The sequence below is a fragment of the Homo sapiens genome, chromosome 14 (assembly GCF_000001405.40).
Source record: "Homo sapiens chromosome 14, GRCh38.p14 Primary Assembly".
Lineage (NCBI taxonomy): Eukaryota > Metazoa > Chordata > Mammalia > Primates > Hominidae > Homo > Homo sapiens.
This window is the reverse complement of record NC_000014.9, coordinates 33,820,990-33,840,178: the sequence shown is the minus strand read 5'-3', so window position 1 is coordinate 33,840,178 and position 19,189 is coordinate 33,820,990. Positions and strand designations below refer to the sequence as shown.

The following is a 19,189-nucleotide window of genomic DNA, read 5'->3' as shown; positions in this document are numbered from 1 at the left end:
ACATCGGCAATAAGGGCCAACTCTTTACTTTTTTAAACTCACTGTGTGCTTCATGCTATTGGGAAAGTTTATAGTATACTGGAGAAGGCTTTCCTCGTCAATCTTAGGGTTAATTGAACTGTGTGCAGCTTATAATTCTAAGAATACTGGAAATGGATGGAGACAATCAGAAGAGTCCTCCCCCACATTGTGTTCCGAAATGCAGTGATTAGGTGTCATATTCTAGCATTAAAATTTTTTATCTGCTCCTTGTCTGCACAGGAGGGCAGCAGATATTTACCAGCACTGGAATAGTTAATGAAGCATGCAGCATTAGGTCTCTTTCTCATAACGGGCTTTGGGATTTTTGCTGTGATTGTTCAATGTACACTCTGCCCTCTAGTGGCCAAGATCTCCCTCGACCCGAGGGGTATCCACGAAACCCCACGCAGGGCCGTGGAAGGGGAGTTTCCTTGCACTTCACAATGGCTCTGTCCAAAGGATTTTCTTATGTGCATTTCTGTATTATTTTCATTCATTAGTTTCTCTCTCCATCTTCTACAGTAATGTATGATCAATTGGAAAACCCAGGTGACCCAAACTCCAGTGCCATTTCATAGCCATACAGCCTTGAATGCAGTCGTTATCACTGTGAGCCGGATCCCGTGGATCTGAACATGGGCTTTGGAGGCAGAAAGACCTGGACTCCAGGCCCAGAGTAGCCCACCTTTGTACGCGGACAGTTTCTTCCCCTGGGAAAGGGGGATAACATTACCTGCCTGGGGATTAAATGGGCAAGTGTGTACAAATGGCCTGGCACCTCACGATTGTCCAACAGATGTTGGTTCTCATGTTTCTTTGGCTTAACTCCCTGATTTCTGGGAAGATCTTTGAAGAGTAAGTGAGAATCGTCTCTGATGACAGTGTTGCGTTTAGCCGGTGTTGCATTGTAATTGTCTGATTATTGTTCATGTGCCCCATTGGACAATAAGCTTTGGTGAAGATAGGGGTCTTGTTGGTATCCCCACACCCAACACATAAGCCATTCAATAAATCTTTGCTGAATGAATAAGAATGAAATGTGTCCTAACACAAAGAAATGAAAAATGTTTGAGATGATGGATATGCTAATTGCCCTGATCTGATCACTGTACATTGTATCAAAACACCACTGTGTACCCCATAAATATGTACAATTATTATGAATCAATAGAAAAAAACTGGCTCGGCGCAGTGGCTCACGCCTTTAATCTCAGCACTTTGGGAGGCCTAGGCTGGCGGTTCGCTTGAGCTCAGGAGTTTGAGACTAGCCTAGGCAACATGACAAAACTGTACCTCTACCAAAAATACAAAAATTAGCCAGGCATGGTGGCGCATGCGTGTGGTTCCAGCTACTTGTGCGGCTGAGGTGGGAGGTTCACCTTAGCCTGGAAGATTGAGGCTGCAGTGAGCCATGACTGCACCACTGCACTTCAGCCTGGGTGACAAAGTGAGACCCCGACTCAAAAAAAGAGAAAAGCAAAGCAAAGCAAAGCAAAGCAAGAAACCCTGAACATATGGCTCCCAAATTCAAGCATCTCAAGTCATTTCCTAGGCACACTAAATTTTAAGACCTGCTCTAGAGGTTTGACCTCTAGGAGTCAAGCTATGGATAGAATTTAATTTGGGACTTACCTTTGTTCTCTATAATCTGCTTCATATCTGGTGACTTTTGACCTCAGCTGGGAAACAGAGCTCATGACTTCCTGCCAGATTCTTTGTCAAAAGAGCTAGTACGTGTGTTTATGAAATGGAGTCTGACTTAATGCAGAAGCTTTCTTTAAAGGTCTTGACCATAGTTTAGGGTTAAGGGAATTATTACAGAAGAAACAATTAGCATCTTACTAACTGACTGTAGGCTTGAAGTCTTTCCAAATAAACAATTTTCTTAAAAATGTTATTTATCTTTTACTTAAAAATGGCCCCTTTAGTCTCTGTATGCTTCTCTTCTTGAAACTGTGTCTCTAGGGTTTCCAAATGAGCTCATTACTTGATCTGGCTTGCTGCAGTTTCAGGAAGGCAGTTCCTATAATGTTCCTGATTGTTTGTTCTGACGTTCTTCAGACATCAGTTACACAAATGTAGAAAAAAAGCCCAGGCTTTCCTCTAGGTCGAGTTGCCAGTATGCTTCTATGGAATTTGATCCCCCAAAAAAACTACTTAGGAGACCCGAATCTGGGGGCAGATACATTTCCATAGCTCTTGCCTCAAGTGACTATTTTTTCAGTTTTATTGAGGTATAATTGACTAATTGTATATATTTGTAGTGTACAACATAATGTTTTAATATATGTATACATTGTGAAATATTGCCACAGACAAGCTAATTAACATATCTATCATCTCACATAGTATTTTTTGGGGTGAGAACATTTAAGATCTGTTAGCAATTTTCAAGTGTTTAATACACTTATTAAATATATAATCTGAATAACTAATCTGAAGATTATTGGACAGCATGGTGACTGTACAATAGTAATTCATCCTGTCTACCTGAAACTTTGTACTTTTTGAGCAAATCACCCCATTCCTCCTCAAGTGAGTATTTTAATGTTTAAGTTTCAGAAACTTTAGGGAAAAAATTCTTTTCTCTCTCACAAGTTAAAATCAAAGAACCCAGTCTGGTTACATTTAAGTGAGCCAGGAGGGCAAAGTTGGGGAATATTATGCCTGGGGCTACTTGCTCCCAGATCAACAGAGTTTAACAGCAAGAACAATACTTACTGAGCATTTATTACATGCCAGGTGTCGTGCTGATTACATCACAGGCCATAGATCCAATATGATCCTCACAATAGTAACTGTGACACAGTGCAACGCTTATTACCCCCATCTTATCAGCTGAGGCATATAGCACAAAAGCGAGAAGCTGAGGCATATAGCACATAAGCGACTTGACAGGGATCATGTGGTCACTAAGTAATAGCACTAGGATTCAAACCCAGGCCCATCTGATCCACATTCATAAAAACTGGGCTATCCTCGAGGACAACTACTTTTTTCACTGATAGTCTGGAAAGACGTTGTTGCTATGCCAGCTCTATAGCTCGGGTATCCCTGGAGCTGCTGCTTCAGGAATGTGGTCTTTACGTCACAGTCAGTACCTCCTCTTAGTTGCCTGTGTTAGGTCTAGATTCCTCCCCACCCAAGGTCGGATTCATCCTTGATGTGGAGATTTGGTTTTCTATTACGGAAATTCAGCTGGTTTGGAGATTTGGTTTTCTCTTACAGAAATTCAACTGGTTTGTATCTTTTGGTGGCCCTGCTGTGTTCCTTTCCCTTTGTTTTTCCTTCTCTTTGAAAGTGTTCTCTTTCAATCTTGTGGGGGTGATTTGGCACCGTTTATGTCTTAGTGCAAAGGGCTTCTGCTTTCAGAAAACCTCTATATCGTGGACTAAGGAGAGTGTTGGAGGCAGGCCCAGGGAGGGATGGCAGAAGGCCTGGGGGATGGGTGAAAATGAACACTATCCAGCAAAGCAGGAGGCAGGCAGCGAAAGAGCCGGAAGTACCAGGGCGAGGGGCAGGGAAGGGGCAGGTGTGTGGAAAAGGGCCAGGAGTGAGTGTGGAGACAAAATCATCTTTTATAAAAACCCTGCTGCTTGCCTTAACCTCAAACCTTTTTCTTATTGAAAAGGTAGGGTTGAGAAGTTAAGTCCTTCCTTGCAGGAGTGTGGGGAAAGGTCAAGAAGCTTGCTGCTTTGGCCTGCAGGCACTTGGTTAAGCCACAGAGGGGAAGAGATAAGCAGTTGGTTTTTCTCTGAAAGAAGAGGACGTATCAATTTGACAGTCGGCACCACAAGTGCTTACAACACCTTGGGGGCGGAACCTCTTCTATGATCTCCCTTAGGGCAAAAACTACTCCTGCTTGGGATGCTTTCAATAAAAACATCTTCTTGCATGATTCACCTTCTCTGGGGATAATTTCACATTATCCGTGGGGATTTTGAGTTGTTTGTGAGATCTCTATATTATACCTGCTTACTCTTTTCCCTGAGAGAAAGCAGTAGAAGGCATAAGAAGGCCAGGGTAGGGAGGTAAAAATCTTCCCATGAACCCTGTTTCTAAGCTTCAGAGCAATAATGACCAAATCTGGATACAATACCAATCGGGGAAGGAGACTTGTTCCTGGAAGACTTCTCTCCACGAGAGCAGAAAATTCTGTACAATGAAACCAACATAAGTAAAATAAACCATACAAAAGAATATGGAGAGAGATCCTGTGATAGGCAGAATTCCAGTCCCAATAACCATATCCATGTATTAGCCTTTGCCCTTAAGTGTGGCCACACCTGTAATTTGCTTCTAACCAATGGAATATGGCAAAGGTGATGGGCTATTACTCTCATGACTCTGTTATATGGCAAAGGTCTGTAATTTTGCACAATTTAGCTTATTAGTCAGTTGGCATGAATGAAAAGGAGCTATCCCAGGTAGGCCTGAACTAATCAGGTGAATTTTTAAAAACAGAGTCTGGCGGTCAAAGACAAAAGAAGTCAGAGATTCTTCTGCTGTCTTTGAAAAAACAAACTTCCATATTATGAACAGCACCACATGGCAAAAAATTGTGGTGGCCTCTAGGAGTTGAGGTCCTCAGCCCTATAGCTACATGGAACTCAATTCTGCCGATAGCCAGTGAGCTTGGTAGAAGACCCCCTACCTCAGACAAGATGGCAGCCCTGGGCCGGGCGTGGTGGCCCATGCCTACAATCCCAGCACTTTGGGAGGCTGAGGCAGGCAGATCGCCTGGGGTCAGGAGTTTGAGACCATCCTGGTCAACATGGCAAAACCCTGTCTCTACTAAAGATACAAAAATTAGCCAGGCATGGTGTCACGTGCCTGCCATCACAGCTACTTGGGAGGCTGAGGAGGAGAACTGATTGAACTCGGGAGGTGGAGGTTGCAGTGAGCCAAGATTATGCCACTGCACTCCAGCCTGGGTGACAGAGGGAGACTCCATCTCAAAAAAACAGAAAAACAAAACAAAACGAAAAGGGATCACAGCCCTGGCTAACACAGCGATTTCAACCTGGTAAGACCCTGGGCAAAGGACCCAGCTAACCTGCATTTGGTCTCCTGACACGTGGAAGCTGTGAGATGATAAATCTGTATTATTTTAAGCTGCTGTTTGTGGTAATTTGTTAGGCAGCAGTCAAAACGAATACAGATTCTATGTTTTTCAAATGAAAACTCAATGGTTTTCAAGATGACATCTTCTTCAAGACTTTATTGTCACTAAGCTAAATTGGAGCCACAATTATCCCCTTTTTCAATCACTACCTGCCATGACTCTTTGGAAGCCACCTTTTTGGAAGCTCTGTGGTTAAGGGCTTCCTGTCAGCTTACTTCTGGGGGCCTGTTGGAAGATAAATAAAGAGATGCTTCTGGTCTTGTTTTGTGGAATTACGTTATGCAAATTCCTGTGTACATTGGGCAAAAACCCTCTTTTAGGCTTAGGAGGTGTCCCTGCAGTGGTGTTGGTGAGGGAGAACCCACAGGAAGGCATTCCTGGGAAGTCTGGCTCACTCCAGCATGTAAATCATCCAGCAATATGCAAATGACTTCTCAGGCCTACGGTCCTTTCCTCCGTGATCTTCCTAGGCTCTGCCTGGGAGTTGAAAAGCCTCTACATTTGGCTGTGTTTTAGCTCATTCTCGTTGGGAGCATCTTCAAGTGCCTGGAAAATGTGGTTTTGTAGTTAAAACTGTAGAAGTGAGACGCATAAAGGACATTGGGAGTGCCAAGACCTGGTGCCAAGCTGGCTGCGTGTGTACCTGCAGCCCAGGGCTGTACTGTAGTCGATTACAGTCCAGCTCTTGCCAGGAAATAGGGCACTCTCACTTTACTCACCTTGGCATGAGCAGCGCAGTACCGCCTGTTGTGGTGTTTGCTGAATGAATGAAACCTTTTATTTTATGGAACAAATGAAGGCCAGTAGAGATTCAAACTCCTGCCCAAGGCCACATAACTTGCTAGTGGCAGAGCTGGTTCTGCAGCACCAGCTTTCTGAATTGCTGTGTCTTTCTACTTCCACCTCCCAGCCATGGCACAGGCCTGGTGTGCCCCTGAAGAGGTGGAGGCAGAAAGAGGACTGTGCCTTTTGTCCAAGGACATCACTAAGTGAGAAGCAGCGTCCCGATTCCAGTTGGGGCCCTGCCTCCACGTCCACCCGGTCTCCATCGAGCAGCACTTAGCTCCGTTTCTGTGTTGTACATGCTCTTGCTGATGGCCTCCCTGCTCAATTCCCTTCAGTGCCGTTTTCAGCTTCACACTTCATGAATTTTATTTGCAATCGATAAATAAACCTATTATCATCAGGGTTTTGTATTCTCATCATATATCGTCATCTGTCATAAACCATTGCATGCGGGAGTCCGGTTCATTCAGCATATCCCACTCATCATTATTTCTGAGTCAGTGGCTGAGAGACACAAACTGAAAGTGCAATGCCAAGAATTCAGTTTTCACTCAATAACATAAAGTCTAAAGATAAAAATCTTATTTAGATATTATTATTATATTTGAGATTAGTGCCGGGGGAGAAAAAATCTTTTACCTTGTCAGGCTCTCTGTACTTATTAGAAGTGACAAAGTATTTTGTTTTTCCATTCAAATGTGACGGATCTGATGGAAAAGCGGTTTTTCATTAAGGTGTGTTTTCAGAATGCTTCTGGCCATCTCTAGCAGTTTTGTGGGGGGCATCTGATTTGAGTACAGCTTTGGGTTGGCACATAAGTTGGAGGTCACATTTGTCTGTCAAAGTAGATTTTGGTAGGAGAAGCTAAATAATGCTGTGGTCTAATGGGGAGTCACATTTCCTGGTTTCCGCCACAGTCTTTTTTTGCTTTTAATTTTATATTTGTAATTTGGTGTTCATCTTTTAAAAGTTTCTGTGCATTTTATTTTGTTTATTTATTTATTTTTGAGACAGGGTCTCACTTTGTCACCCAGGCTGGAGTGCAGTGGCGTGATCATAGCTCACTTCAGCTTCGACTTCCCAGGCTCAAGCGATCCTCCCATCACAGCCTCCCTAGTAGCTGGGACTGTAGTTATGTGCCACCACACTTGGCTGAGATGGTTTGTTTTGTTTGTAGAGATGGGCTTTCGCCATGTTGCTCAGGCTGATCTTGAACTCCTGGGCTCAAGTGATCCACCAACCTCGGCCTCCCAAAATGCTGGGATTACAGGTGTGAGCTACCACGCCCCACTATGTTTTTATTTTTGTGGGTACGTAGTATATATATTTATTTTTGTGGCTACGTTGTATATATATTTATGTAGTATACATATTGGCCTATAGTTTTCTTTCTTGGATATGTCTTTGTCTAGTTTTGGTATCAGGGTAATACTGGTCTTCTAGAATGATTTGGAAGTATCCCCTCCTCCTCTGTTTTTCAGAATAGTTTGAGTAGGATTGGTATTAGTTCTTCTTTAAATGTTTGGTAGAATTCAGCAGTGAAGCCATCAGGTCCTGGGCTTTTCATTGCTGGGAGACTTTATGTTGTGGCTTTTATCTCATTACTTATTATTGCTCTGTTCAGGTTTCGGGTTTCTTCGTGGTTCAATTTTGGTAGTTTGTTTGCTTCTAGAAATGTATTCATTTTTTTCTAGGTTTTCCAATGTATTGGCATAGGGTTGCTCATCGTAGCATCTAATGAGCCTTTGAACTTCTATAGTCTTGATTATGATATCTTCTTTTTTATTCCTGATTTTATTTAGTTTGCCCTTCTCTCTTTTTTCTTTTTTTCTTTTCTTTTCTTTTCCTTTCCCTTTCTTTCTTTCTTTCTTTCTTTCTTTCTTTCTTTCTTTCTTTCTTTCTTTCTTTCTTTCTTTCTTTCTTTCTTTCTTATTATACTTTAAGTTCTAGGGTACATGTGCACAACATGGAAGTTTGTTACATATGTATACATGTGCCACGTTGGTGTGCTGCACCCATTAACTCATCATTTACATTAGGTATATCTCCTAATGCTATCCCTTCCCCCTCCCCCAACCCCATGACAGGCCCCGGTGTGTGATGTTCCCCTTCCTGTGTCCAAGTGTTCTTATTGTTCAATTCCCACCTGTGAGTGAGAACACGCAGTGTTTGGTTTTCTGTCCTTGCGATAGTTTGCTCAGAATGATGGTTTCCAGCTTCATCCATGTCCCTACAAAGGACATGAAGTCTTCCTTTTTTATGGCTGCATAGTATTCCATGGTGTATACGTGCCACGTTTTCTTTATTTTTTTCTTTTTAAATATATATATTTTATTATACTTTAAGTTCTAGGGTACATGTGCACAACATACAATTTTGTTACATATGTATACATGTGCCATGTTGGTGTGCTGCACCTATTAACTCATCATTTACGTTAGGTATATCTCCTAATGCTATCCCTCCCCTTCCCCCCCACCCCACAACAGGCCCCCCTACCCCACAACAGGTGTGATGTTCCCCTTCCTGTGTCCAAGTGTTCTCATTGTTCAATTCCCACCTATGAGTGAGAACATGCGGCGTTTGGTTTTTTGTCCTTGCGATAGTTTGCTGAGAATGATGGTTTCCAGCTTCATCCATGTCCCTACAAAGGACATGAACTCATCCTTTTTTATGGCTGCATAGTATTCCATGGTGTATATGTGCCACATTTTCTTAATCCATTCTATCCTTGTTGGACATTTGGGTTGGTTCCAAGTCTTTGCTATTGTGAATAGTGCCACAATAAACATATGTGTGCATGTGTCTTTATAGCAGCATGATTTATAATCCTTTGGGTATATAACCAGTAATGGGATGGCTGGGTCAAATGGTATTTCTGGCTCTAGATCCCTGATGAATCGCCACACTGTCTTCCACAATGGTTGAACTAGTTTACAGTCCCACCAATAGTGTAAAAGTGTTCCTATTTCTCCACACCCTCTCCAGCACCTGTTGTTTCCTGACTTTTTAATGATCGCCATTCTAACTGGTGTGAGAAGGTATCTCATTGTGGTTTTGATTTGCATTTCTCTGATGGCCAGTGATGACGAGCATTTTTTCATGTGTCTTTTGGCTGCATAAATGTCTTCTTTTGAGAAGTGTCTGTTCATATCCTTTGCCCACTTGTTCATGGGGTTGTTTGTTTTTTTCTTGTAAATTTGTTGGGCTCTTTGTAGATTCTGGATATTAGCCCTTTGTCAGATGAGTAGATTACAAAAATGTTCTCCCATTCTGTAGGTTGCCTGTTCACTCTGATGGTAGCTTCTTCTGCTGTGCAGAAGCTCTTTAGTTTCATTAGATCCCATTTGTCAATTTTGCCTTTTGTTGCCATTGCTTTTGGTGTTTTAGACATGAAGTCCTTGCCCATGCCTATGTCCTGAATGGTATTGCCTAGGTTTTCTTCTAGGGTTTTTATGGTTTTAGGTCTAATATTTAAGTCTTTAATCCATCTTGAATTAACTTTTGTATAAGATGTAAGGAAGGGATCCAGTTTCAGCTTTCTATGTATGGCTAGCCAGTTTTCCCAGCACCATTTATTAAATAGGGAATCCTTTCCCCATTGCTTGTTTTTGTCAGGTTTGTCAAAGATCAGATGGTTGTAGATGTGTGGCATTATTTCTGAGAGCTCTGTTCTGTTCCATTGGTCTATATCTCTGTTTTGGTACCAGTACCATGCTGTTTTGGTTACTGTAGCCTTGTAGTATAGTTTGAAGTCAGGTAGCATGATGCCTCCAGCTTTGTTCTTTTGGCTTAGGATTGACTTGGCAATGCGGGCTCTTTTTTGGTTCCATATGAACTTTAAAGTAGTTTTTTCCAATTCTGTGAAGAAAGTCATTGGTAGCTTGATGGGGATGGCATTGAATCTATAAATTACCTTGGGCAGTATGGCCATTTTCATGATATTGATTCTTCCTATCCATGAGCACGGAATGTTCTTCCATTTGTTTGTGTCCTCTTTTATTTCGTTGAGCAGTGGTTTGTATTTCTCCTTGAAGAGGTCCTTCACATCCCTTGTAAATTGGATTCCTAGGTATTTTATTCTCTTTGAAGCAATTGTGAATGGGAGTCACTCATGATTTGGCTCTCTGTTTGTCTTTTATTGGTGTATAGGAATGCTTGTGATTTTTGCAAGTTGATTTTGTATCTGAGACTTTGCTGAAGTTGCTTATCAGCTTAAGGAGATTTTGGGCTGAGATGATGGGGTTGTCTAAATATACAATCATGTCATCTGCAAACAGGGACAGTTTGACTTCCTCTTTTCCTAATTGAATACCCTTTATTTCTTTCTCCTGCCTGGTTTCCCTGGCCAGAACTTCCAACACTATGTTGAATAGGAGTGGTGAGAGAGGGCATCCCTGTCTTGTGCCAGCTTTCAAAGGGAATGCTTCCAGTTTTTGCCCATTCAGCTTGATATTGGCTGTGGGTTTGTCATAATAGCTGTTATTATTTTGAGATACGTCCCATCAATACCTAGTTTATTGAGAGTTTTTAGCATGAAGATTGTTGAATTTCGTCAAAGGCCTTTTCTGCATCTATTGAGATAATCATGTGGTTTTTGTCTTTGGTTCTATTTATATGATGGATTACATTTATTGATTTGTGTATGTTGAACCAGTCTTGAATCCCAGGGATGAAGCCAGCTTGATCATGGTGGATAAGGTTTTTGATGTGCTGCTGGATTTGGTTTGTCAGTATTTTACTGAGGATTTTTGGATCAATGTTCATCAGGGATATTGGTCTAAAATTCTCTTTTTTCGTTGTGTCTCTGCCAGGCTTTGGTATCAGGATGATGCTGGCCTCATAAAATGAGTTAGGGAGGATTCCCTCTTTTTCTATTGACTGGAATAGTTTCAGAAGGAATGGTACCAGCTCCTGTTTGTACCACTGGTAGAATCTGGCTGTGAATCTGTCTGCTCCTGGACTTTTTTTGGTTGGTAGGCCATTAATTGTTGCCTCAATTTCAGAGTCTGTTATTGATCTATTCAGAGATTCAGCTTCTTCCTGGTTTAGTCTTGGGAGGGTGTATGTGTCCAGGAATTTATCCATTTCTTCTAGATTTTTCTAGTTTATTTGCGTAGAGGTATTTATACTATTCTCTGATTGTAGTTTGTATTTCTGTGGGATCGGTGGTGATAGCCCCTTTATAATTTTTTATTGTGTCTATGTGATTCTTCTCTTTTTTTTTCTTTATTAGTCTTGCTAGCAGTCTCTCAATTAAAAAGAAACCAGCTCCTGGATTCATTGCTTTTTTGAAGGGTTTTTTGTGTCTCTGTCTCCTTTAGTTCTGCTCTGATCTTAGTTATTTCTTGCCTTCTGCTAGCTTTTGAATGTGTTTGCTCTTGCTTCTCTAGTACTTTTTTTTTTTTTTTTTTTTTTTTGAGTCAGAGTCTCACTCTGTCACCCAGGCAGGCTGGAGGGCAGTGGTGCGATCTCGGCTCACTGCAAGCTCTGCCTCCCAGGTTCACACCATTCTCCTGCCTCAGCCTCCCAAGTAGCTGGAATTACAGGTGCCCACCACCACGCCCGGCTAATTTTTTGTATTTTTAGTAGAGATGGCGTTTCACTGTGTTAGCCAGGATGGTCTGGATCTCCTGACCTCATGATCCACCCACCTTGGCCTCCCAAAGTGCTGGGTTTATAGGCATGAGCCACCGTGCCCACCCTCTCTAGTTCTTTTAATTGTGATGTTAGGGTGTCAATTTTAGATCTTTCCTGCTTTCTCTTTTGGGCATTTAGTGCTATAAATTTCCCCCTACACACTGCTTTAAATGTGTTCCAGAGATTCTGGTATGTTGTGTCTTTGTTCTCATTGCCTTCATTTTGTTATGTAGCCAGTAGTCATTTAGGAACAAGTTGTTCAGTTTCCTTGTAGTTGAGTGGTTTTGAGTGAGTTTCTTAATCTTGAGTTCTAATTTGATTGCACTGTGGTCTGAGAGATAGTTTGTTATAATTTCTGTTCTTTTACATTTGCTGAGGAGTGCTTTACTTCCAACTATGTGGTCAATTTTGGAATAAGTGTGATGTGGTGCTGAGAAGAATGTATATTCTGTTGATTTGGGGTGGAGAGTTCTGCAGATGTCTGTTAGGTCCCCCTGGTGCAGAGCTGAGTTCAAGTCCTGGAAATCCTTGTCAACTTTCTGTCTCGTTGATCTGTCTAATGTTGACAGTGGGGTGTTAAAGTCTCCCATTATTATTGTGTGGGAGTCTAAGTCTCTTTGTAGGTCTGTAAGGACTTGCTTTATGAATCTGTGTGCTCCTGTATTGGGTGCATATATATTTAGGATAATTAGCTCTTCTTGTTGAATTGATCCCTTTACCATTATGTAATGGCCTTCTTTGTCTCTTTTGATCTTTTTTGGTTTAACATCTGTTTTATCAGAGACTACGATTGCAACCCCTGCTTTTTTTTGTTTTCCATTTGCTTGGTAGATCTTCCTCCATGCCTTTATTTTGAGCCTATGTGTGTCCCTGCACATGAGATGGGTCTCCTGAATATAGCACACTGATGGGTCTTGACTTTTTATCCAATTTGCCAGTCTGTGTCTTTTAATTGGAGCATTTAGCCCATTTACATTTAAAGTTAATATTGTTACGTGTGAATTTGATCCTGTCATTATGATGTTAGTTGGTTATTTTGCTCGTTAGTTGATGCAGTTTCTTCCTAGCATCGATGGTCTTTACAATTTGGCATGTTTTTGCAGTGGCTGGTACCAGTTGTTCCTTTCCATGTTTAGTGCTTCCTTCAGTAGCTCCTGTAAGGCAGGCCTGGTGGTGACAGAATCTCTCAGCATTTGCTTGTCTGTAAAGTATTTTATTTCTCCTTCACTTCTGAAGCTTAGTTTGGCTGGATATGAAGTTCTGGGTTGAAAATTCTTTTCTTTAAGAATATTGAATATTGGCTCCCACTCTCTTCTGGCTTGTAGAGTTGCTGCTGAGAGATCAGCTGTTAGTCTGATGGGCTTCCCTTTGTGGGTAACCCGACTTTTCTCTCTGGCTTCCCTTAACATTTTTTCCTTCATTTCAACCTTGGTAAATCTGACAGTTATGTGTCTTGGGGTTGCTCTTCTTGAGGAGTATCTTTGTGGCGTTCTCTGTATTTCCTGAATTTGAATGTTGGCCTGCCTTGCTAGTTTGGGGAAGTTCTCCTGGATAATATCCTGCAGAGTGTTTTCCAACTTGGTTCCATTCTCCCCATCACTTTCAGGCACACCAATCAGACGTAGATTTGGTCTTTTCACATTGTCCCTTATTTCTTGGAGGCTTTGTTTCTTTCTTTTTACTCTTTTTTCTCTAAACTTCTCTCCTCACTTCATTTCATTTATTTGATCTTCAATCACTGATACCCTTTCTTCCACTTCATTGAATTGGCTACTGAAGCTTGTGCATGCGTCATGTAGTTCTCATGCCATGGTTTTCAGCTCCATCAAGTCATCCAAGGTCTTCTTTATGCTGTTTATTCTAGTTAGCCGTTCGTCTAATCTTTTTTCAAGGTTTTCAGCTTCTTTGCATTGGGTTCGAACATCCTCCTTTAGCTTGGAGAAGTTTGTTATTACCATTCGTCTGAAGCCTACTTCTGTCAACTCGTCAAAGTCATTCTCCATCCAGCTTTGTTCCGTTGCTGGCAAGGAGCTGCGTTCCTTTTGGAGGAGAAGAGGCGCTCTGATTTTTAGAATTTTCAGCTTTTCTGCTCTGGTTTCTCCCCATCTTTGTAGTTTTACTACCTTTGGTTTTTGATGATGTTGATATACAGATGGGGTTTTGGTGTGGATGTTCTTTCTGTTTGTTAGTTTTCCTTCTAACAGCCAGGACCCTCAGCTGCAGGTCTTTTGGAGTTTGCTGGAAGTCCACTCCAGACCCTTTTTGCCTGGGTATCAGCAGCGGAGGCTGCAGAACAGCAAATATTGCAGAACAACAAATGTTGCTGCCTGATCCTTCCTCTGAAAGCTTTACCTGAGAGGGGCACTTGGCTGTATGAGGTGTCAGATGGCCTCTACTGGGAGGTGTCTCCCAGTTAGGCTACTCAGGGGTCAGGGACCCACTTGAGGAGGCAGTCTGTCTGTTCTCAGATCTCAAACTCCGTGCTGGGAGAACCACTACTCTCTTCAAAGCTGTCAGACAGGGAGGTTTAAGTCTGCAGAAGTTTCTCTGCCTTTTGTTCAGCTATGCCCTGCCCCCAGAGGTGGAGTCTACAGAGGCAGTCAGGCCTCCTTGAGCTGCAGTGGGCTCCACCTAGTTGGAGCTTCCCAGCAGGTTTGTTTACCTACTCAAGCCTCAGCAATGGTGGATGCCCCTCCCCCAGCCTCGCTACTGCCTTGCAGTTCTATCTATCTCAGACCTCTGTGCTAGCAGTGAGTGAGGCTCCTTGGGCGTGGGACCCTCCCAGCTAGGGGCGGGATATAATCTCCTGGTGTGCCATTTGCTAACACCATTGGAAAAGCGCAGTATCAGGGTGGGAGTGTCCTGGTTTTCCAGGTACTGTCTGTCATGGCTTCCCTTTGCTAGGAAAGGGAATTCCCTGACCCCTTTCCCTGCCCTGCTTCAGCTCACACTCTGTAGGCTGCACCCACTGTTCAACAAGCCCCAGTGAAATCAACCCCATACCTCAGTTGGAAATGCAGAAATCACCCATCTTCTGTGTCGCTCACGCTGGGAGCTGTAGACTGGAGCTATTCCTATTCGGCCATCTTGGAATTGCCTCTTCTCTCTTTTTTTCTTAGTTAGTCTGGATAAAAGTTTGTCAGCTTTATCTTTTCAGAAAACCAACTTTTTGTTTCGTTGATCTGTTGTATTGCATGGTTGTTTTTTTGTTTCAATTTTATGTATTTCTGCTCTAATCTTTATCATTTCTTCTAACTCTGGATTTGATTTGTGCTTGTTTTTCTAGTTCTTTAAGATGTATCATTATGTTGTTTATTTGAAGTTTTTATACTTTTTTGATGTAGGTGCTTATTGCTATAAACTTTCCACTTACTACTGCTCTCACTGTACCCATAGGTTTTGGTGACTTGTGTTTCCATTTTCATTTGTTTCAAGAAAGTTTTCAGTTTCCTTCTTAATTTTTTCATTGACCCACTGGTCATTAAGCAGCATATTGTTTAATTTCCACATATTTGTAGAGTTTCCAAAATTCCTTGCTATTTATTTCTCATTATATTCCATTGTGTCAGAGAAGATTTTAATAGTATTGCAATTTTTTTGAAATTTTAAAGACTTGTTTTGTGGCCTAATATAGGGTCTGTTCTTGAGGATGTTCCATCTGCTGAAACAAAGAATGTGTATTCTGCAACTATTGGATGAAGCATTCTGTAAATATCTATTAGGTCCATTTGGTCTATACTGCAGATTCTGTCTAATGTTTCTTTGTAGATTTTCTGTCTGGATGATCTGTCCAATACTAAAAGTGAGGTGTTGAAGTCTCCAACTATTATTGTTTTGGGGTCTACTTCTCTTTTTACCTTTAATAATATTTGCTTTTTATATCTAAGTGCTGCAGTTTTGGGTGCATATATATTTATAAGTGTTATATCCCTTTGCTGAATTGACCCCTTTGTCATTGTATAATGACCTTTTTGTCTCTTTTTATAGTTTTGTCTTGAAGTATATTTTGTCTGATATAAATATAGCTACTCCTGCTTTTTTTGGTTTCTGTTTGCATGGAATATCTTTTTTCATCCCTTTATTTTCAGTCTATGTGTGTCTTTATAGGTGAAGTGTGTTTCATGCAGGCAACAAATTGTTGGGTTTTTTTTTTTTTAATCCATTCAGCTACCCTCTGTCTTTTGATTGGAGAATTTAGTTCATTTACATTCAATGTCATTATTAATAAGAAAGGATTTACTCCTGCCATTTTGTTATTTGCTTTTCTGGGTTATTGTTTGTTTGTTTGTTTTGGTTCTCTCTTCTCCTTTTTTTTCCTTTCTTCTTGTCTTCCTTTTAGTGAAGGTGATTTTCTCTGGTAGTAGTTTTTTTTTTTTTTTAAGAGACAGAGTTTCACTCTGTTGCCCAGGCTGGAGTGCAGTGGCATAATCATAATTCACTGTAGCCTTGAACTCCTGGGCTCAGGCAATCCTCCCACCCCAGCCTCCTGAGTAGCTAGGACTGTAGATATGTGCCACCATGCCCAGCGAATTAAAAAAAATTTTTTTTTTGTAGCGATGAGATCTCACTTACATTGCCCAGGCTGGTCTTGAATACTTAGCCTCAAATAATCCTCCCACTTTGGCCTCCCAAAGTACTGGGATGAGCCACCATGTCTGACCTTTGGTAGTATGTTTTAATTTCTTGCTTTTTATTTTTTGTGTATCTGTTGTATATTTTTTGATTTGAGGTTATCATGAGGCTTGCAAATAATCTTATAACCCATTTTTTAACTAGTAAGAACTTAACACAGGTTGATTAAACAAGCAAAGAGAAAACTAATAAAATTCTGCACTATAACTTCATGCCCCTGCTTTTTAACTTTCCATTGTTTTTATTTATATTTTATTGTACGGTTTGTCTTGAAAACTTGTAGTTACTATTTTTGACAGGTTCATCTTTTAGTCTTTCTGCTCAAGATATGAGTAGTTTATATACAATTACAGTGTTAAAATATTGTGTTTTTTTGTGTACTTACTATTACTGGTGAGATTCTTATCTTCAGATGATTTTTTATTGCTCATTAATGTCCTTTTCTTTCAGATTGAAGAACTTCCTATAGCATTTCTTGGAGGACGGATCTAGTGTTGATGAAATCTCTCAATTTTTGCTTGTCTGGGAAAGTCTTTATTATTCCTTCATGTTTGAAGGATATTTTCACTGGATATACTAGTTTTTCTCCTTCCGCACTTTAAATGTATCATGCCACTCTCTTCTGGCTTGTAATGTTTCCACTGAGAAGTCTGCTGCCAGATGTATTGGAGCTCCACTCTGTTCTTTCTTTCCTTTATCTTGCTGCTTTTAGGATCCTTTCTTTGATTATTAAATGTCTTGAGGTGGTGTGATTTGGGTTAAATCTGCTTGGTGTTCTGCAACTATCTTGTATTTGAATATTGATATCTTTTTCTAGGTTGGGGTGTTCTCTGTTATTATCTCTTTGAAGAAGTTTTCAACCCTGATTTCCGTATCTCCTCTTTAAGACTGATAATTCTTAGGTTTGCCCTTTTGAGGTTATTGTCTAGATCTAGGCATGCTTCACTGTTTTTTATTCTTTTTTCTTTTGTCTCTTCTGAACGTGTATTTTCAAAAGCCTGTCTTCAAGCTAATTGTTTCTTCTACTTGATCAATTCTGCTGATAAGAGACTCTGATGCTTTCTTTAGTATGTCAGTTGCATTTTTCAGCTCCAGAATTTCTGCTTGATTTTTAAAAATTATTTCAATCTCTTTGTTAAATATATCAGATAGGTTTGAATTCCTTCTCTGTGCTACCTTGAATTTCATTGACTTTCCTCAAAACAGCTATTTTGAATTCTCTGTCTGAAAGGTCACATACCTCTGTCTCTCCAGGATTGGTCCCTGGTGCCTTATTTAGTCTTTTTGGTGAGGTCATATTTTCCTGGATAGTCCTGATGCTTGTGGATGTTTGTCGGTTTCTGGGCATTTAAGAGTTAGGTATTTATTGTAGTCTTCACAGTCTGCACTTGTTTGTACCTGTTCTTCTCGGGAAGGTTTTCAAGGTATCCAAAGGGACTTGGGTGTTGCTATTTAAGTCTTTGGTCACTCACTGCAGCTGTGTCTACATTAGGGGACACCCCAAGCCCAATATTACTGTGGCTCTTGCAGATTCATAGAGGTACCACCTTGGTGGTCTTCGGTATGGTCCAGGAGAATTCCCTGGATTAGCAGGCAGAGACTCTTGTTCTCTTCCCTTACTTTCCCCCTAACTAACAGAATCTCTGTCTCTGTTTTGGGCTGCCCAGAGCTGAGGGAGGGATGACACAAGCACCCCTGTGGCCACCACCACTGGGACTGTGCTGGATCAGACCCAAAGCCAGCACAGCACTGGGCCTGGCCCAAGGCCGGTACCACCACATATTTTTGGATGGATTATCAAGTGGGAGAGTCAAGCACTCCACAGCTGGATGGTTTATGGTCAAGGAATTTTGATTGAAAGGCTAGCAACTAGGATTCTAAATCACAGTGGTCCATAGTTCTTTTTTTAATATAGAAATATAGTATATAATAAAGGTGACATTTTAAATAATTGGTGAAAATATGGATGGTATAGCAACATCTAACATTGATGTCATAGTAACAATAAGACAAAGCTAAATAACGTGAAATGTAAATGCCACAAATTGAGTCAAAAGAATATCATGACAATTTGGGAAAAGTTACTTGCAAACTATATTACTTGAGGTAAGATTAATAATACAAAAGTCTATGAAAAATTGAGATAGAAATGACCAACAAAATGATATGAACATGTACAAAATATACGAATAATTAAATAACAGCAAATGAAATTTAGATTAGCATAAATATATAATTAGGTGCTTATAATACTACATAGAAAAAGATTGATTCTTCCTATCCATGAGCATGGAATGTTTTCCCATTAGTTTGTGTCATCTCTGATTTCTTTGAGCTTTGTAGTTCTCCTTGTAGGGATCATAGTCCATAGTTCTTCAGTAAGCATTGGACAAGTAGTTCTGAACTCTGTTGATGAAAAGAATCAAACTACGTAAAATACTTGAAGAAATTTATCCTGAGCCAAATATGAGTGACCATGGCCCATGACACGGCCCTCAGGAGCCCCTGAGAACATGTACGTAGGGTGGTTTGGACAAAGCTTGATTTTATACATTTCAGGGAGACATGAGGCTTCAATTAAATACCATGAAAATATACACAGGTTTGGTCCAGAAGGGTGGGACACGAAGAGGCAGGAGTGGGGTTCTAGGTTCTAGGTAGATTTAAAAATGTTCTGATTGCCAATTGGTTGAAAGAGTTATTATCAATGGAAAGCAATGTCTGGGTTAAGATAGGAGGTTGTGGAGACCAAAGTTTTGTCATGCAGATGAAGACTGGTGTCCAGCCTTGCAAGACTGTAATTTTCTTTTTTTTTTTTTTTTTTTTTTTTTTTTTTTTGAGACGGAGTCTCGCTCTGTCGCCCAGGCTGGACTGCGGACTGCAGTGGCGCAATCTCGGCTCACTGCAAGCTCCGCTTCCCGGGTTCAACGCCATTCTCCTGCCTCAGCCTCCCCAGTAGCTGGGACTACAGGCGCCCGCCACCGC

At 41.0% G+C, this 19,189-nt stretch overlaps 1 annotated feature.

Moving 5' to 3' along the window:
- Positions 282-576: a silencer, noted in NCBI's record as "tiled region #9495; K562 Repressive non-DNase unmatched - State 8:EnhW". NCBI's record gives its function as "represses a minimal TATA promoter and a strong SV40 promoter by Sharpr-MPRA in K562 cells {active_cell/tissue: K562}" and the evidence as "EXISTENCE:reporter gene assay evidence [ECO:0000049][PMID:27701403]".